Source organism: Homo sapiens, chromosome 21 (genome assembly GCF_000001405.40).
Source record: "Homo sapiens chromosome 21, GRCh38.p14 Primary Assembly".
NCBI lineage: Eukaryota > Metazoa > Chordata > Mammalia > Primates > Hominidae > Homo > Homo sapiens.
Genome location: NC_000021.9, coordinates 20,810,090 through 20,829,403, shown reverse-complemented (window position 1 = coordinate 20,829,403; position 19,314 = coordinate 20,810,090). Strand labels below are relative to the sequence as shown.

Genomic DNA, 19,314 nt, shown 5'->3' with positions numbered 1-19,314 from the left:
CCCTCTTTGAGAAGAATTGACATTCATTATAACAGTAGAAATCATTTAAAATGTCAGTTCAAAATTTTACTGCTTGAAACAGCTCATCCTTCAATAATGAAGTCAATAAAACTAACTTAATTTAATTTAAACAGTGATGCTGTATTTTAGGCCTGGTGGAGTCATTACAATTAGTAATTCATAATTAGAATTTTACTGATGTCCATGCACCCTGTTGCCGAGCATCATCAAGAAACCGTGATGATTGGTGGTAATTTGATAAACATTCAGAACCATTGCATTAATTATGTGCCTTCCAATTACATCTGAAGTTAATGAATGTATGCAGATATTGTGGAGATGAATTCAAAGGACAGCTCAACCTGAATTTTAAGATAGTATTTTGTAATGTTCTAATTATAACTTTCCTACTTATCAGCTTTTAGACAAAATGAGGCTTATGTAAAATATTAAATGTGAATATTGTTCATACAACAATCTGTTTTCTAAAATCTTAGTGATTAATTTGAAACAGTAGTCAATGTACTTTCCATATAATATGGTGAATAAAAAAGCTACAAAGCGTATTTTAGACTGAATTAACAGCAAAACAATCCATAAATATGGTGACTAGAAAATCTCAAAAAAATAACGTAAATGACCTTCCTAACTTTGCTTCTGTTTTCTCATATAAAACATAAGTAATGCCAAATTTAACTTTACTTAATTATTGCCAACAAATTAAAAGAATTACTATGGCTTTGCAGATGCCACCGCTGCCAGGAGCCCCGTTCTATCAGCCATGGTCAACCCCACCAGGTTCTTAGACATCATCGTGGATGGTGAGCTCTTGGGACGTGTCTCCTTTGAGCTGTTTGCAGACAAGATTCCAAAGACAGCAGAAAATTTTTGTGCTCTAATCATTGGAGAGAAAGGATTTGGTTATAAAGGTTCCTACTTTCACAGAATTGTTCCTGGGTTTATGTGTCAGGGTGGTGACTTCACACAGCATAATGGCACTGGTGGCAAGTCCATCTACGGGAAGAAATTTGATGATGAGAACTTCGTCCTAAATTATACAGGTCCTGGCATCTTGTCCGTGGAGAATGTGCTGGACCCAACACAAATGGTTCCCAGTTTTTCATCTGCACTGCCATGTCTGAGTGGTTGGATGGCATGCAGGTGGTCTTTGGCAAGGGAAGGAAGGCGTGAGTATTGTGGAAGCCATGGAGTGCTTTGGGTCCACAAATGGCAAGACCAGCAAGAAGATCACCATTGCTGACTGTGGACAACTCTAATAGGTTTGACTTGTGTTTTATCTTCACCACCAGACCATTCCTTCTGTTGCTCAGGAGAGCACCCCTCTACCCCACTTGCTCACAGTATCCCATCATCTTTGTGCTCTTGCTGCAGTTCCCTTTGGGTTCCATGTTTTCCTTGTTCCCTTTCATGCCTAGCTGGATTGTAGAGTTAAGTTTATGATTATAAAATAAAAACTAAATAACAACAAAAAAGAATTACTACAAAAAGAATGCATATTCTCGTAGATAAAAATACATAAAAATTACATATCAGTGAAGACCATCAATATCTTTCCTTCTCTTTACTGATGGGGTTGAGGAAGGAGGGCAGAATCACATTTGGTTGGGCCTATTTAAACTTAATTAGCAGAGTGTATTTTGCATAGCCATTACAAAAAATAATTCTCTAGAAAACTGATATATACATGTTTTCAATTTGAGTGTGATATGGTTTGGCTGTGTTCCCACCCAAATCTCATCTTGAATTGTAGCTCCCAGAATTCCCATGTGTTGTTGGTGGGACCCAGTGAAATACAATTGAATCATGGGGGAGGTTTCCTCCATACTGTTCTCGTGGTAGTGAATAAGTCTCATGAGATCTAATGGTTTTATAAGGGGAAACCGTTTCTCTTTATTCTCATTCTCTCTTGCCTGCTGCCACATAAGACATGCCTTTCTCCTTCCACCATGATTGTGAGGCCTCCCCAGCCACATGGAACTGTGAGCACATTAAACCTTTTTTTCATTATAGATTACCCAGTCTCGGGTATGTCTCTATCAGCAGCATGAGAACAGACTTATACAGAGTGATATTGGAAACCTGGGTAATGTCCATAGTGTTTTGTCTGTAGAACTGAGATGTTGTGCCTCTTCAGACTACTGTCTATCAGGTTGCAAAAACATCTAGTGTAGTTCAGACTTTATGCTCATTGGTAGCCATCAAATCTGTTGTTGTGCCTGTAATTTTACTACCTCCTGATCTTTCTTTACTCTGCCTAAGACTCTTTGATTAAGGGGCCACTGAGCAGGCAAACTAACATAATAGTCTCAACAGTTCTAAAAAAATGTGGAAAATGGGCTGGGCACGGTGGCTCACGCCTGTAATCCCAACACTTTGGGAGGCTGAGGCGGGCAGATCACGAGGTCAGGAGATCGAGACCATCCTGGCTAACACGGTGAAGCCCCGTCTCTACTAAAAATACAAAAAATTAGCCAGGCGTGGTGGCGGGTGCCTGTAGTCCCAGCTACTTGGGAGGCTGAGGCAGGAGAATGGCGTGAACCCGGGAGGCGGAGCTTGCAGTGAGCCGAGATCGCGCCACTGCACTCCAGCCTGGGTGAAAGAGCAAGACTCCCGTCTCAAAAAAAAAAAAAAAAAAATATATATATATATATATATATATATATATATATATGGAAAATGCTGTTCCTATGAAGTAGAAAGAAAAAAATTTTTAAATGGAAGAGAGAAAGAAGGCAAGGGAGAGAGAAAAAAAGAGAAAAAGGAACAAAACACTGTGATATTATTGGGCTGTGTCCCGCCCAAATCTTATCTTTGAATTGTAGTTCCCATAATCCCCATTATTGTGGGAGGGACCCAGTGGGAGGTAATTGAATCATGGGGGCGGTTACCTTCATCATTTTCTTGTGATAGTGAGTTCTCACAAGATCTGATGGTTTTATAAGGGGCTTCCCCCAACCGCGCTTCACCCTGCACTTTTCTTTGCTGCTACTATGTGAAGAAGGACGTGTTTGCTTCCCCTTCCACCATGATTATAAGTTTCCTGAGGCTTCCCCAGCCATACTGAACTGTGAGTCAATTAAACCTCTTTCCTATATAAATTACCCAGTCTCAGTTATGCCTTTATTAGCAGCATGAGACTGGACTAATATACACTGAAATTTAAAAATATCCAATGAACCTTATTTTTCCCAAAGTAAAAAATCAAATGCTGTTTCCTAGTATATAACTACAACCAGAACCAGAGTTATTACCTACTAACTAGAATTTAATAATTTTTCAGGCTTATTTTAATTGATGATGTGGTTATGGTACTGGAAATTGAGGGTAAGGATTCATAACCAGGTACTCTGTCTAGATGTGTAATTTTGAAATAAGTCACAGAACTTTCTCCAAAATTAAGAGTTCAGGAGAGATAACTAAAAAGTGCCTTACTACTCAAAAATTCTATGAACCTATGAAAATATATCAACAAACATCATAGTTTATGCTTGGAATAACATATAGTTCTTGCACTTAAAAACCTTAATTAAGAAATATACTCCTAGCGTTGAATACTTAAAAATATAAAATAAACACAAATAAAACATTACTGCCTTATTAAATCACAGATTTTGATGTTCATTATAAACAGCTCTATTTTTGTAATATTTAACTTTATTTCTTTATAATTACCTAGGTTCTTTAATTATAATTACCTAGGTCCCTCGGGGGACCTAGGCTGTGTCCCCACCCAAATTTCATCTTGAATTGTAGTTCCAGTAATCCCTGAGTGTCAAGGGCAGGACCAGGTGGAGATAACTGTATCAGAATTATCAGAATCCCCCATGCTGTTCTTGTGATAGTGAGTGAGTTGTCAAGAGATGTGATGATTTTATAAGGGGCTTTCCCCTTCCTTCGACACCCACTCCATTCTGCTACCCTGTGAAGAAGGTGCCTGCTTCTCCTATGCCTTCGTCCATGACTGTAAGTTTCCTGAGGCCTCCCTAGCAATGTGGAACTGTGAACCAATTAAACATCTTTTCTTTATAAATTACCCAGCCTTGGGCAGTTCTTTATAGCAGCATGAGAACCGACTAATATAGTTCTTACTAACTTTCACCTTACTTACATGCTGTATTAGTTTCCTAGGGCTTCCATCAAAACATTACCACAAACTAGATCGCTTAAGAAAAAGGAAATGCGTTTTCTCACAGTTCAGAAGGCTGGAAGTCTGAAAGTAAATTGTTGGCAAGGTTGGTTCCTTCTGGAGTCTCTGAGGGAGAAACCATTCCAAGCCTCTCTCTCTCCTGGCATCTGGTGGTTGACAGCAACTTTGACTTTAGGGATAAACCTAAATCCAGTATGATATCATCTTGAGATCTTTAACTAATCATATCTGAAGAGGAAAGCAAAGACCCTATTTTCAAATAAGTTTCCATTTTTAGTGTTAGGGTTCAAAAACCGATACCCCAAAATGGGGTTATTTGACATGCTCAACAGAAAAAGATTCAGTATCTCTCTGCCCACAACACACTTCCTGGCTCTCAATCTTCTGTGTCTCCCAAATCACAGGATCAAATTGTTATCTGAAGTTCCCTTATCTGCCTAAAATTTGGACTTACTAAATAAGAAAACAATTACCTCTGGTATCTTCCCTGAATTTTCATTAACCGAAATCATACGGTGGGAAGAAAGACTCAAGTCTGTCAACACATCCAGACAGACTTTTGTTACAAACCGTTGTCTGCCCAGGAGCTCAACAGACTTTATCCCACATCACTGTATGTTGTTTAAGCCCATTGAATTCCCCTGAAAATTATTTACTACCCCCTAAAATCATCCGTACTTCTCCATCTCTTATTCTCTAAGAAGGAGGCTATATAACCATTGGTTTCCTATTGCATGGTGGGAAAATCACTCTGTAATTCCCTCCCACACCCACCCCCAGGCATGCTAATACATTTGAATGCCTTTTCTTCTATTATTCTGCCTTTGTGAATTGATTTTTCGCAAAAATTCAGGAGGTAAAAGGGAAGTTTACCCTTGGCAGCTACCAGGCAGGGTTGAAGCTGCAGTGAGCTGTGATTGTGCCACTGTACTCCAGCCTGGGAGACAGAGAAAGACCTTTCTCAAAAAAAAAAAAAGATTACTGTTACTACTGCTTATGGCAACCACAAACTCATTCTCTGCATTAATTCAATCCCAGTTATGTCACATTTAACTCAGATCCAACAGCCAAAATACGTGAATTATTATTTTTTAACTTTGTATTTTACATCACATCTTTACATAAATACTAATTTATTCATTCTAGGTGGTGAGTGACTTCACTTCCATGCATTATTTTTCTGTAGTAACTGTTTCCAAAAGGTTTTCCAATTTGATAGGGTGTTTAAATGGTTCTATGGTTTTTTAAATGGAAATTCCTTAGCATATCAAATGTTTACATAATACTAGAATTACAGACACTCTTCTCATCTCTTGGTAGTCTTAGAAAAGCTTTGTATTTGCTGCGGAAGACAAGCCACAGAACTTCCAGAACCATTTGTGATTTTCTTTCATATTAAAAAAAAATAATTCAAGTAATGAATCTGTAAGGGAGCTTTTTAGGTAGACTTGTGTAACAAGGGCTAAGCCTCTACCTGCCACAGGGAGATTGACTGTGTCTTGCAATTCAAGGTTATATTTCAATCCTGAATCAAAGGTACAATGAGTTTGCAGGCAATTGGCTTACGTGGCAAGAAGGTAGCAGAAACCATTGCCTTGGAGACTTAGGTTTACGTAAAAGATTGTAATGTTACAAATAGACTGCAAAATGTTTAAATGAAAGCATTTACCATGTCCATAGAAAGCTACATTACTGAGAAATTTTGTGAATAATATATTTGAATGCAGTTCTTTAAAAGCAGTACCTATATTTGTATAATCCAAAAATGTGAACACAATATAACAACTCAGAAATTCTTATTACCCTAATTGCCATTTGTGATATAAACATAAATGTTTACGAGCAGTGGTGCATGCTTTTTGTTGTTGTATTTGGATTTTAAAAAATCGGTTTTTCACCAAACTGATGCTTTTGAAAGAAAAAAAACTGAATATTTTGGCTTCAAAGGCTTGAGAAATAGTTTTAATTTTTCTATGGTTGTAATAGTCTCTGTAGGAAAATCTAAATTAAGAGTCATATTTTAGCACAAAACAATAATTTCATTTTGTAGAACTCAGAGTATTTTTTAAATGCCCAGAACAGAAATTTCAATGACTATTTTTTTAACCTCAAAATATAGCCTTACGATAATCACTGGGACAAAAGCCTGCAAAATATACAAATATCGTATGTGCCAGTGGGCCAGCATTCCTCAAGTTGCTCAATTGTAGTCTGACATAATGGGTGCAGGGAGCTTTCTCCATAGAGTTACCCCCTGGAGGAAGGCTTATTATTCAGCCCAATGATGAAAGTGTTTGTGTCATCCCTGCTGCCAGTGAAAGATGTTGCCCACACAGAGTGGGAGCTTTGAAGTCTTAGTATTTCAGTCCTCAAGTTTCCATGTGTCAGTTCCGAAAACAAAATGTAGAAAAAAGACAGCTGCAGAAGAATCTCCAGGAATAGCCTGAGTCAGTGGTAAATGAGCAGGCATTCTGTTGGACATATTGATTTAGTTTGTAATTTTCCCACTGCTTGTTAAAAACGAGAATGTGCTTAGATATTTCTTCTCTGTAGAGCATAATAGGACATTGATCTTTTCATAAAATGTATTTGTTGGGGGAATGTCTGTCCACTTGAGCTTTTACAGGGGACAGTTGGTTTCAAATGCAAAGCTTAATAGAGATGCATGCATAACCGTATTGAGTGAACATACGAATGAAGGGAAAGAAATGAATAATAACTTATTCTTACCAGATTTCCAGAGTCATGTAATGAAAATGCAAATGTGAACAAGATGAGCTGGAAACTGCTGGTTGTAATCCCAGCCCTGTTTGATAAGGGGAATGTACTCCTGTCACTTCCTGCTTATGAAACTTTCACATTAATAATTAGGACTCTTGCTTCTTAGAGCCCAAAGTTATTTGCATTGCTTCAATATGGCATTTATATTAAAAAATATTAATTACTGTGATGGAACGAGAGAAAGGTAAAGAAAACAGCACAGGAAAAAAGACAATAAAAAGGAACTGTCATTTAGTCTGTAAATGGAAACAAATATTTACTAAATGTTGAATATGTGCACTGTATGTTTGGGGTTACAGTGGGAACGGGCATTGGGTGGGAGTATAAAGATACGTAAAATATTCCCCGTCCTAGAATAACATAAAAACGTGTTTAAATAAATACTAAAAGCTTAAATTGGGAATGTAGATTGTAAAAGAGTATAGAAAATGCAACATGGAGAGTTACGGTTTACAAGTGTAATCATAATTAAGGGAGTCATTAGGACATGTAAGCATACGCTTTCCAAGAGGCCAGGTATGTGCACAAATGCTCAATAGCACTAACAATCTGAGAAATGCAAATAAAAACTGCAATGAGATATCAACTTATCCCTTTTAAAATGGGATTTATCCAAAAGACATTCAATAATGTATGCTGGTGAGGATGTGGGAAAGCAAAGCCCTCATAGACTGTTGGTGGGAATGTAAATTATTACGGCCACTATGGTGAACAGTATGGAGGTTCCTCAAAATCTAAAAGCAGAACTACCATATGATCCAGCAATTTCACCACTGGGTGTATATCAAGAAAAAAGGAAACCAGTGTATCAAAGAGATATCTGCACTTCCATGTTTACTGCAGCACTATTCAAATAACCAAGATTTGGAATCAACCTAAGTGTCCATCAACAGACAAAAGGATAAAGAAAATGTGGTACATATCCACAGTGAAATATCTTTTAGCTGTAGAAAAGAAAATCCTGCCATTTGCAGCAACATTAATAGAACTGAAAGACATGTTAAGTGAAATACTCCAGGCACAGGAAGACAGATATTACGTGTTCTCACTCATATGTGGGAGCTAAAAACTAAATCAAACTCATGGAGACAGAGAATAAAATGATGGCTACCAGAGGCTGGGAAAGGTACTGGAAAAGGGAGGATAAAGAGCGGTTGGTCAATGGGTACAAAAATACTGTTAGAAGAAATAAGATCCAGTGTTCAGTAGCACAATAGAATGACTATAGCTAACAATAACTTATTATGTATTTCAGAATGGTAAAAATAATAGAATCGCAATATTCTAAACACAAAGAAATGATAAGTTCTTGAGATTATGGACATCCCAATTACCCTGGTTTTATCATTACACATTGCGTGCTTGTATCAATATATCACATGTACTCCCTAAATATGTACAACTATTTTGTATTCATAAGATTAAAAAGTTCCTAAAAAGGCTAGGGTAGGAGGACAAGACACTAAATAAAAAATGACAGAGACAAAAGGAAGGAGAGGTTTTTAGGAGATTAGTATTTCAGGCAGAAGGAACATTGTGAATGAGAACATGGAGGAATAAAATAAGTAGAAATATTTGAGAAATATTTGGCTGGAAAGAAAAATTGGGGAAAGTCAGAGGTTGGGTGGTAATATTACTGTAATATATAAATTCTCTTTGTAATCAAGAGAAAATAGAGTTTCAAAGGAATACTTTTCACAGATTTGTTGGTCTTTTGCAAAGCAACCCAAAGTAATGTCTTGTGATTACTTGCACTATCTTTTTTTTCTAAACTTTTTAAAATAAAACTTCCCTTGACTCATTTTTGTTTGGCAAAATCCCCATTGCAAAGTTCAGAGAAAATCATTACTCTGATGAACTGAAAGCTATACCTGTATTTGTGCAGCTTCGGTTCTTGATTTTGAATACCAGGAAAAAAAAAGTGGAGTTTCTTCAGGGGCAATGACACTCTCTGTTTTTCCATTTTTCACATGCACTGAACATCATCCAGTCAAAGCCTCTGAGATTTCTTTCACCTTCTGAGAGACATTACAAGAGAGAAGACATGGTTTTGAACTTTTACTGTAAACTTTTCAAATTTGTTCTCAAATGAGGCTTAATTTTTACATAATTAATATTTTAACCTTAAAGAACTACTGTCTTATTTTAGATAAATGTATCCTCAATAAATTTGTATATTTAAGAGGGTAGGTTTAAGAATCCTATTAAAGATTTAGAGCTTGTAAAAGTTTGAGCTGAGATATTATACATATCTCAAAGCTACCCAGTGAGTATTTTTAAGATTAGGCAAATCCGTACAATTTCAGTTCTTTCTAAGATCCATGTGAGAGAGCTATATTAACTGTACATCGGATGACTAAGTGTTCTAGATATATATTTAGAAATGACATTATTGTAAAATTATATGTGTTTTAAAAACTCTATATAAAGAAAATCTTTTTTTTAGGTCAAATGTGTCATTTAAAAATCTAAAAAAAAAAAAAAAGGGACCCTGTGAGTTTTCACTGAACTAATATCCTGGAAGAATTATGTTAAAATATCTCTTCTGATGGGACAGATTGACTACATATATCTGTCAGTAGCCAAAATTTGTATCTGTATTAAAAAGAAAAGGTGAAAAATTAATATCCATATAAAAGAATGAGCTAAATATTAAGAGGTATTGAACAAAAAAAAAATCAAGTAAACATCTAAAGTAGAGATCTTAATCTTAATTTTTTTATTTTTAGGGTGTAAGCTGAATCCACATAAAATATGAAATATGTGCAAGAGATTCAATGTGCACATATCTGTATGATTTGGTCAGTCTAGTTTATCATAGCCAGTTTCTATGCTTTTTTGGACAGCAAAACATGTAAATAACCCAAAACTGCAGCTGATGAAGTAGTATGAGACTTTGTAAGTGGACCAAACTTTGTAATCCTATGTTATTCTTCTCCTAAGTAGGGCTGCTAACTTTTTTCAACATTCATAAGTTACCCATGAGGATTAGGTAAAGATTTCCTCCATTCACACCATCATGGAGATGGCTGGGATTGAGGAAGAAGTCAATGTGCCAGAGATGTTCATGATCCGAGATGGCTATACTGGAGTGTATGAGTTTTCAATGTGTATGCATTAGAATTAGGACATTCAGAATATCTAGAGAGAACCATCCTTCAGAAAGGTTACTCTTCCTGAGACAAGTCTGACTGTCAGTTTATGTTCTAAGCATGTCTGTGTGGCCAGTACATTCAGAGTGGACAGTCTCTGAGCTGTTAGTCTTTCCAGAGAGGGCTCTCTATTCAGATGGTAGTGGAATAGAGTATTCAAAACATACATGTTATTCAGAGGGTGAGAAATATCTTTATGCTTTTCCCGTGCTTTCTTCTTGGCCTGGAAACAAATCTCCTGTTTACGCTTCGATTTGATCAGACTTTGAATGTGTGTGAACATGATTGATGAGAGGCTTAAAAAAGCCTCCCAAAACTCAGGAGAGGGGGAATCTGTTCTTAGCCCACTTCTGACAAATATCAATATCTGCTTCCTCCCCATTTGGGATGCTCCTCAGACAAGGGTTAAATGTAGTGGTAAGAAACAGGGTGTGATTGGGTGAGGGGGAAATTGTGCTTAGGTTCTAGATGACGTGGATTCTATTTCCCTCAAGTGTTTCACTTGCAAATCTTTGTTTGTATCTGAAAGGTCCCCAGGCCCCAGTCTTCTCTCCCAGATCTTTGCAAGTAAAGGCTGAAAAGGGGCAAAAAGCCCATTGATTTTGGCTATACTGGTTGTGTTCCCTGTCTTACTTTAGTGTCTATGTGAACTTAAACAATTTAATTACCCAAACTAACCATATATCCTAATCAGGAAAAAGGGGTTAATAAGAGAATGTATCTATATCATAATTTCCTATGAAAATTAAATAAGAAAAATCCATTTAACTAAAGTGTCACACAAATCTTTGCAAGCTATGCGTCCAACAAAATACTAATATCAAGAATCCACAAGGAACTGAAACAACTCTACAAATAAAAAACAACCCCCATTAGAAAGAGGGTAAAAGACATGAACAGACATTTCTCAAAAAAAAAAAAACCATAAGTGTTTAACAAACATATGAAAAAAAAATCAACATCACTAATCATCACAAAATGTAAATAAAACCACAGTGAGATGCTATCTCACACCAGTCAGAATGGCTATCATTAAAAAGTCAAAAAACAACAGGCGTTGGAGAAGATGTAGAGAAAAGAGAAAACATACACACCCTTGGTGGGAATGTAAATTAGTATAAACTCTATGAAAAACAATATGGAAATTTCCCAAGAACTAAAAATAGAATTACTATTCAATCCAGTAATTCTATTACTAGGCATCTAACCCCATGCACCACCAAAAAGGAAACCATTATACCAAAAAGACACCTGCACTCATATGTTTATTGCAGCACAATTCATGATAGCAAAGTCATGGAATCAACCTAAGTGTCTATCAATAGGTGGCTGGATAAAGAAAATGTGGTATACATACATCATGGAATACTATACAGTCAAAAAACAAAGACTGAAATTGTGTCTTGTGCAGCCGCATAGTTGGAGTGGGAAGTCATTATTCTAAGTGAAATGACTCAGAACAGAAAATCAAATAGTGCATATTCTCACTTGTAAGTGGGTGCTAAATAATGGGTACACATGGACATACAGAGGGGAATAATAGACCCTGGGGACTCCTAAAAACGGGGGATGAGAGGGAGATGAGGGTTGAAAAACTACCTGTTGGGTATAATGTTCTTTATTAGGATCAGGGATACACTAGAAGTGCAAACCTCACCGTTATACAATATGTCCATGTAACAAACCTGCGCACGCACACTCTAAATCAATAAAATTAAAAAAGCATAAATTATGGCAATCCATAATATAAAAAATAAATAAAATAATAAAATATTAGTTATGTTCTTAATAACAACATATTCTTATACATATTTTTAAGAAGTTAACCAGGTTTGACTTCCAAGTGATTCTTAGATATTTATCTATTTATTGGCTGACATGTTATTTTAATTTTAAAAATTCTAAATCAGTGAAATGATATCCACCTAGAACTTAGGAAATTGGAGCTACTGTTAGCTATAGATAAATTTATTGTGCATATACTATGTGTCAGCCACTGTGCTAATGTGTCAGGAAAATACAAGTTAGCCAAAGTGTTTAATGGTTTTAGATGCCATAAAAAATACTGTTGAAGGCCGGGCGCAGTGGCTCACGCCTGTAATCCCACCACTGTGGGAGGCCGAGGCGGGCAGATCACGAGGTCAGGAGATCGAGACCATCCTGGCTAACACGGTGAAACCCCGTCTCTACTAAAAAATAGGAAAAATTAGCCGGGCGTGGTGGCGGGCGCCTGTAGTCCCAGCTACTCGGGAAGCTGAGGCAGGAGAATGGCGTGAACCCGGGAGGCGGAGCTTGCGGTGAGCCGAGATCGCGCCACTGCACTCCAGCCTGGGCGACAGAGGGAGACTCCGTCTCAAAAAAAAAAAAAAAAAAATACTGTTTAAAAGGTCAGATTGACAATAATCAAATAATCGATTAAGTAAAAACTTTACTTGCTTTAGTGCTAGGAAGCAAAAGTGTATAGCATCATAAGGATGTATACCATGGAAATCTGTCCTGAACTAGAATATTAGGAAGACTTACCCAAGAAAGCATCCTTTGGGCAATATAGCGCAACTACTGCAAGTTTGGAATCAGAGACCAGAATGCCTGTGTTCAAGAATCGTAGATCTGCCACATACGAGCCTAGTGACCTTGGTAGATTTTTCATTTTACTAATACTCAGGTACCTCATTCATCAAATGGGGTGAATAACAGTACCTGCCCATAGAGTTATTGGGAAAATCGAATGAGTTAATATTTGTAAAGTACTTAGCATTGGCATGCATTATAATAGTATGTACTCTATAAATGTATTATTACTATTAATAACCTCACTTTGCTAAGTATTACTTTATGTGATTTGAATGTCAGTAGAAGTTAACCAATGAAATGTAGGACTTGTGGTGGGAGAAGAGCATGTGCAGGAAAGGCGCAGGGTCCTGAGTTCTGGAAAGCAAGGGCAGTGTAGTAAGAAATTAGATTAAAAGAGAGAGAACATACAGGGAATCACAGGTCAATATTAAGGATTCCAAACCCAAATACTCTTTGGAGAAGATATTGGAGAGGGAAGAGATTTGAGGAGGGGAGTATGGTGAGGAGGCTGTTGAAGTGGCCTAGATGGGAAATGATATTTTACAGTATAAATATAGTGGTAGAAACAGACACACAACTAATCCACTTGCCTTAGCCTCACCCAAAATTAGGTGTGGGGAATGGACTATGCGTTGAAGTGTGACATTTGCAGGCCTAGATCACAAAAGCTTCCCTCACCCAATCCTTATTTTCATGTCTAATTAACTGATCAGGTGAAAAGTAATTTAAAAAGCCCAAGGAGAAAACAAAAACAAAAACAAAAACAACAACAACAACAACAAAAACACAAGATGGAAGAATCCTGGATTCCTGAATGACCATTTGGAACAAACTCTCATTGCATGTCCCTTTTGATGCTTAAGAGTACATGAGGAAGAAAAAATAAAAATAAAAAAGAAGTAAGAAAGCATGTCATCCTCACATACTCTGAGTCTCGAAGTAGGAAGATCCCATTCTGAGACTGTCCCATTCCCATAGCACCTGTCAACCTCTTACGGTGTTTTAACCTTTGAAACAATTAGCGTACTCGTTCCTTTACATTTGTCTGTTGTGTTTTTAAAATTTCCTCTTCTTCAAAGCAGTTTTCCCACCATTTTCTATTCTGTGTAACATGTTATTTGTAAATAAATCTTAACTGCTTCCCTAGCTAGAGTTGGATTATAAGACATGTTAACCAAAGCTTTGAAGTAATAGAGACATGGTTTCCGTGAGGGTGTCATCTATGACCACGAACAGGCTCTCATCAGACACTGAATCTACTGGGCCCCTGACTGTGGACTTCTCAGCCTTAGGAAATGTGAGTAATAGATTTTTGCTGTCTATAAGCCACTGAGTTTGTGGCATTTTGTTATAGCAGCCCAGATGGACTAAGACACAGTTTTCATCATACCCTCTGCTTCTGTTTATGTTCTTTCTACCTTCTTTTAACTTCCGTAGGAAAGTGAGAAGAAAGGAAAATTGTATAGACCGAAAAACCACAGGAGCAATAACAATAAAATGCAGGCTTGTCCAATGCTATAATGACAGGGGAAGCACATTGAGTCTGGTTCAACATAGTCTTAACGAAGTACCCACTCCATGTGAGTAGGAATACACAGCTCTGGGAAACTCGACTCACAGCTCTCCAGTTAAGTATCATTTTAGGCTATTTATTGTTCGTTTCTCATAGCTAACTGTAAAATTCTTTCTATGGCAAAAATAGCAAATCCTGTTTGTGTAATTATCTTGTTCCAAGAAATTGAAAGTATCTTTATGATATTCTAGCCTCTCATAAGCTTAAAATTTCTGTTATTTGGATTTTTATTTATTTTCCATATGTGCACATGTGATGATGGTAGAGTTTGGAGTAGGGACCCAGTAGACTGAAAAGTTGGAACAGTAACAAAATGTTTACCCTTAGCACTTAGTTATTATAACAAAAACTCTCTTTATTCATATCATGAACAATTATAATCAGTATGTCACATTGCTGATCAATATTCTTAATGAATTGGCAACTGACAAGTCCAAGTTTGTGGAAGTTGTGTTTATTTCCCGTCTTCCTCAGTGTATACATGATGCCGGCAGTTGGGTAACACAGTGAGAAGTAGACCAGGCCAACCTTAGCCATATTTACCATTTTCTGGATCATTGTTCCTCTCTGGTTGTCCTTCTCACACAGCCCATTGCTGTTTTCTAGCTCTGCCTTTTCACCCTAGAGACTTTCAATTTCCTACCACTTACCCAAATACTCCAATCTAGTACTGGCTTTTCTAGGAATGAAACAAGAATTACATGGTCATAAAATACTTGTACAAGCAAATGATGTTGTGAAACAAAAAGGGCTGAGAATTTCATGCTTTTTCCATGAAATCCAGGGGTTTTTTTTTTTACAACGTATCAGAAAATGACAAAAGTATATTTATGTCAATATATTTACAAATAATTGGATTTGCTGTGTCAGCACAGAAGTATGAGATGTTTTTGCCTGATTTAAATTGCAAGTACATTTCAGGATACAAATCACATAACACCTCAAGTTATTAATTTTTTTTTCATAAAATGAGATCATTGGACCTGAAAACTTCCTATTCATTTACCTTTAGTATGAGGTAAATCTAAACAGCTAACACATATTTACTTAATCTTATTTATTTGCAATAGATTGTGTCCATTTTAATCAACAGAAAATTGGAAAATATTATTTTAGAACTCAGACATGTAAGTTGAAGATATAACATTTCTGCCTGCATAATAAGTAAAATAATGATATATTTTAGCTTACCTTAAATATATATGTCTTACAATTTTTCATAGTTTAATAATTATATGGTCTGAAATTGCAATGCAACCCTAATGTTACATTATTACAGCAATTTAATATGACTTTTGTATTCAAAAAGAAGGATAATTAAAGGAGAGAAGAAACTTTCTGAATATTTTATCACATATGCTGGATTTATCTTTTTGTTTTTATTCAGGTTAGTACTATCAAATCAAATCTCGAGGAATTTAAAATTGACACTGCAGTTTCCTCCTCCATTTAACTATGTTCAATATATGTGTAGTTAAACTAAAAAAAAAAAAAAATGGCTAAGCTAAAGTTTTACAGAGATTTTCAAAGGACAAATAACCAAGGTTAAAAAAAGGGAGAAATAGGAAAATGAATTTCTTGACTGGAGAGCTTGTTAAATATGTGAGTTCCTGAAGGAGTTTGTAGAACTAGAGGATTTTAGAAAAATAAAATATTCTCCTAGCTACACTACAGGTGATGGTTTGGGTGAGATTATGACTAAAGGCAAAATAATAGATCTGATGAATATAAATGACATTTTCTAGCTCTGTGGGTTTAAGATTTATTTTGTAGGCTATGATAAAATCAGATTTAAAAGTCATACCTCATTATAAAATCCAGCTAGAGGAGGAATTTGATTTTGAGATATTTCTGAGCAAGAAAAATGAGAGGAAATTATTGTCTACTTCACGTTAACGCAGTCAGTCTCTACCATATACAAAACAAGAGTTTTAAATTCCAGTAACACTTGTGAAATATTGTGGGGAAAAAATATCGTGGCTACATACAAGTGTATGCAGCCAAGAGGGGGAAAAAAAAGAAAGTGGTAACAGAATTTCTCTTATGCAGAAAGACTCTCTGGGTTTAGCAAAATATTTTCATGGTCCACTTTGGTTTTAGAAAGCTAACAGACAGAATAATCCCTGTGGTCCAAGAATGAGGCAAGTACACAGATCACCAGGAAGACATTTGGATGAACTGCAAATCAGTCAGGGAACGGGTGGGAGAGTCTAAGTGGAAGAAAGGGGACCCAGAACCCGCATAGACCCAGGATCAGCGTATGTGTCCTGCTCGCCTTGTCCTCAGCATTCCCCTGCCCTTCCTTGAAATGTTCCAAGGCCTTCTCCAATGTCTGGGCCCTGCCATTACCTGCAGTTTTTTCATGCAGCCCTGTGACGACTGAGAAGGATCTGCATGGGTCCAAGGTCCTTTTCTCCCCTTTACAGCCTCTCTGGCACGCTCATAACCCCCTCAGTAGAGTCAGCCAGATGCCCAGAAGAGCTCCAGGCTCATCCCTATGGGGAGACATGAAGTCCTTTGGACAGCTGGGTTCCAGGGGGTGGCACAGGGAACCAGTCAGTCCACTAGTCAAGACTATATTATTCCACAGGATCGTAAGTGATGGGGATACTCCAAAATGGTGCTGACTGCTCATTTAGGTGACTCACAGTGCAGGGCTCTGGATTATTGACATTTCATCTCTTGATCTATGGATTGAGTGATGAGTTAGGGAGTGAAGGTGTGTGTTCACCATGATTGTATCTCTGGTCTCTGACACTGGAGGGCACAGGAGTAGCAGTAAGCATCCCTTACCCTGTGGGCCACCACTGCTGGCACCTGGGCAGTGACCTCACTACTGCTTCAGGCTCCTGATGACATATCTACCAGTTCTCCAAGGGTGGCTGCACCTATGTCCTCTGAGTTTTTGAGATCATTGCCGTAACACAAAAAAGCCCCAACATGTGACAGATATAGATAAGCGTCATACATTCTTTCTTTAGCCTCTCCGCTGGTAGTGGTAGACAGATATGTGGCCAACATTGAGAAAGACCAAATTCTAGAAATAGAATGATTGTGACCTAAAGAGTTCAAGAGAAAATACAGATGACAAATGTGTCGTTGAGATTTACTGCTATAAAATACAGAACATTATATTTAACATGATCTAAAACTGTACTATCATTCACATTTTTCTGCATAATCTTGGTGAGACTTTTATTTGTGGCCATCATCAACAAAGCACAATAGCAACCTCTGAAGGAGTCACTAGAGGCCAGTGTTCGTGGGTGGCACAATGCTTGATGCAGCGCCGTGCAAAATGATGAAGTCAAACATTTAAAAATATGCTTTTAAGGAACTGTAGAGGCGATAAGATCGCTACTGTTTTAGTACAAATCACTTCTACAGAGTGGTCACATATTATCACTACCTTTTTCTCATTGTGGTGGATATAAAGTCAGGCAGTGTGGTGAGCAGAATTCTAAAATGAACCCCAGTGACTCTTGCCCTTAAAATATCCCCTCCTCTTTGAGTGTGAGTGGAGCCTGTGAACACAGGAGATATTATTATTCCTACAATTATGTTACATTACATAGCAAAAGGGAGATTGTTATTGGTGGGCCTGACATAAACTGGTGAGCCCTTTATGTTGAGTGTTTTCTCTGGCTGGGTGCAGAAGAGGAAGTAAGGGAGATGTACCTGGTTGCCTTGGAAAAAAGCAGATATCCATGCTGTGACCTGTCTATGGAAGTCACATGGTACTGAACTCCAAGTGGCTTCTAGTGGCGTAGGGCCATCTATACCTAACATTTGTCAGTAAAACGGGAGCTCAGTCCTGTAACTGCAAGAACATAAATTCTGCGATTATACTGTGAGCTGGAAGAGGACCCCTAGCCCCAGATGAGAGCCATAGTCTCAGCCAACACCTTACTTTCAGCCCAGCCACAGCTTCAGCAGAGAACGAAGTCATAATGTGTCTGCAATTCTGACCTTTGGAAACAGAGATATAAACTTATGTTGTTTTAAGCTGATAAGTTTGCAACAGTTTGTTATACAGCAATAGAAAATAATATAGCCAGGAACAGCATAATTGATGAACTATGTGATGAAATGATTTATGGACCTGCATAAGAAGAGATAGTGCCTGGACATTACGACAAATCTTCAAGTGCATTGTTGGTACAATAAACAAATACCTATGGACCTCTTCTCTATCAGGATACACAGTCATCCATAAATCACCACACCTCATATGGACCATGATATTTTAAGACTTATTTTTTTAAAATCAGATTGTTCATACGGACAAGGTCTCTGCCAAAAATATTTGCTCAGAACTATGTACACCACAGAAGCAAACTATACCCTGTCCTTGTATTAATATTTCTTGTTCTGAGAATAAACCATATCATTAAGACATGATTTGAGTTTTCTGTTATTTGCAGCCCAAAGCATACTAAATAGGATACTTTTTATTGAAATATATTTAAAAGTTTTAATTTAGTAATTAAATAACAAATTGATATTATTTAAGTTAGAGCATCCTATATTGTTCAACTCTCAATTTTGCCAATATGAATATTCAATCTGTGATCAGCTGTACATTTTTCTGATTTTTCTTTTCATCAAGATTTTATGATTTTACTATTTATGATTTCATGGTATTAACATAGCCCCAAACATATAGAGTCATGAACAAATGTAATGACTGAATTGTTTGTGATGTCATGTAGGCATTTGCAGGGGTTGATGATATGTTTATGTATCATTTGAGACACTTTTAAAGAATTCCTCTTATATGGCCAAGGCATTGCATCTTTATTTCTTAAATTTACCAAATAGTTTCTTTGAATCAAGACCATGTAATTCAGACAATCTATTTCTGTTATTTTCTAAGGACAGTGGGGCCTGGTTAATTAGGCCATCATTATCAAAGATGGATACGTGAAAGAAAATGTCAAATTCTTGAAAACCAATTTTGATTCAGTTAGATTTCTAAAATAGTAAAAATGTAACAAAGGCTTTAGTTGCAATATAACTATGAAATTTCTATCTTTTTAAATATTCACAAGTTATTCTTAATAGCT

General features: G+C 36.9%; 1 pseudogene, besides 1 other annotated feature; it reads left to right on the top strand.

Annotated features, from left to right (window-relative positions):
- On the top strand, positions 740-1,486 carry PPIAP1 (peptidylprolyl isomerase A pseudogene 1; annotated as a pseudogene).
- Positions 6,546-6,746: a silencer, noted in NCBI's record as "peak4376 fragment used in MPRA reporter construct". NCBI's record gives its function as "represses an SCP1 promoter by STARR-seq MPRAs in K562 erythroleukemia cells {active_cell/tissue: K562}" and the evidence as "EXISTENCE:reporter gene assay evidence [ECO:0000049][PMID:32103011]".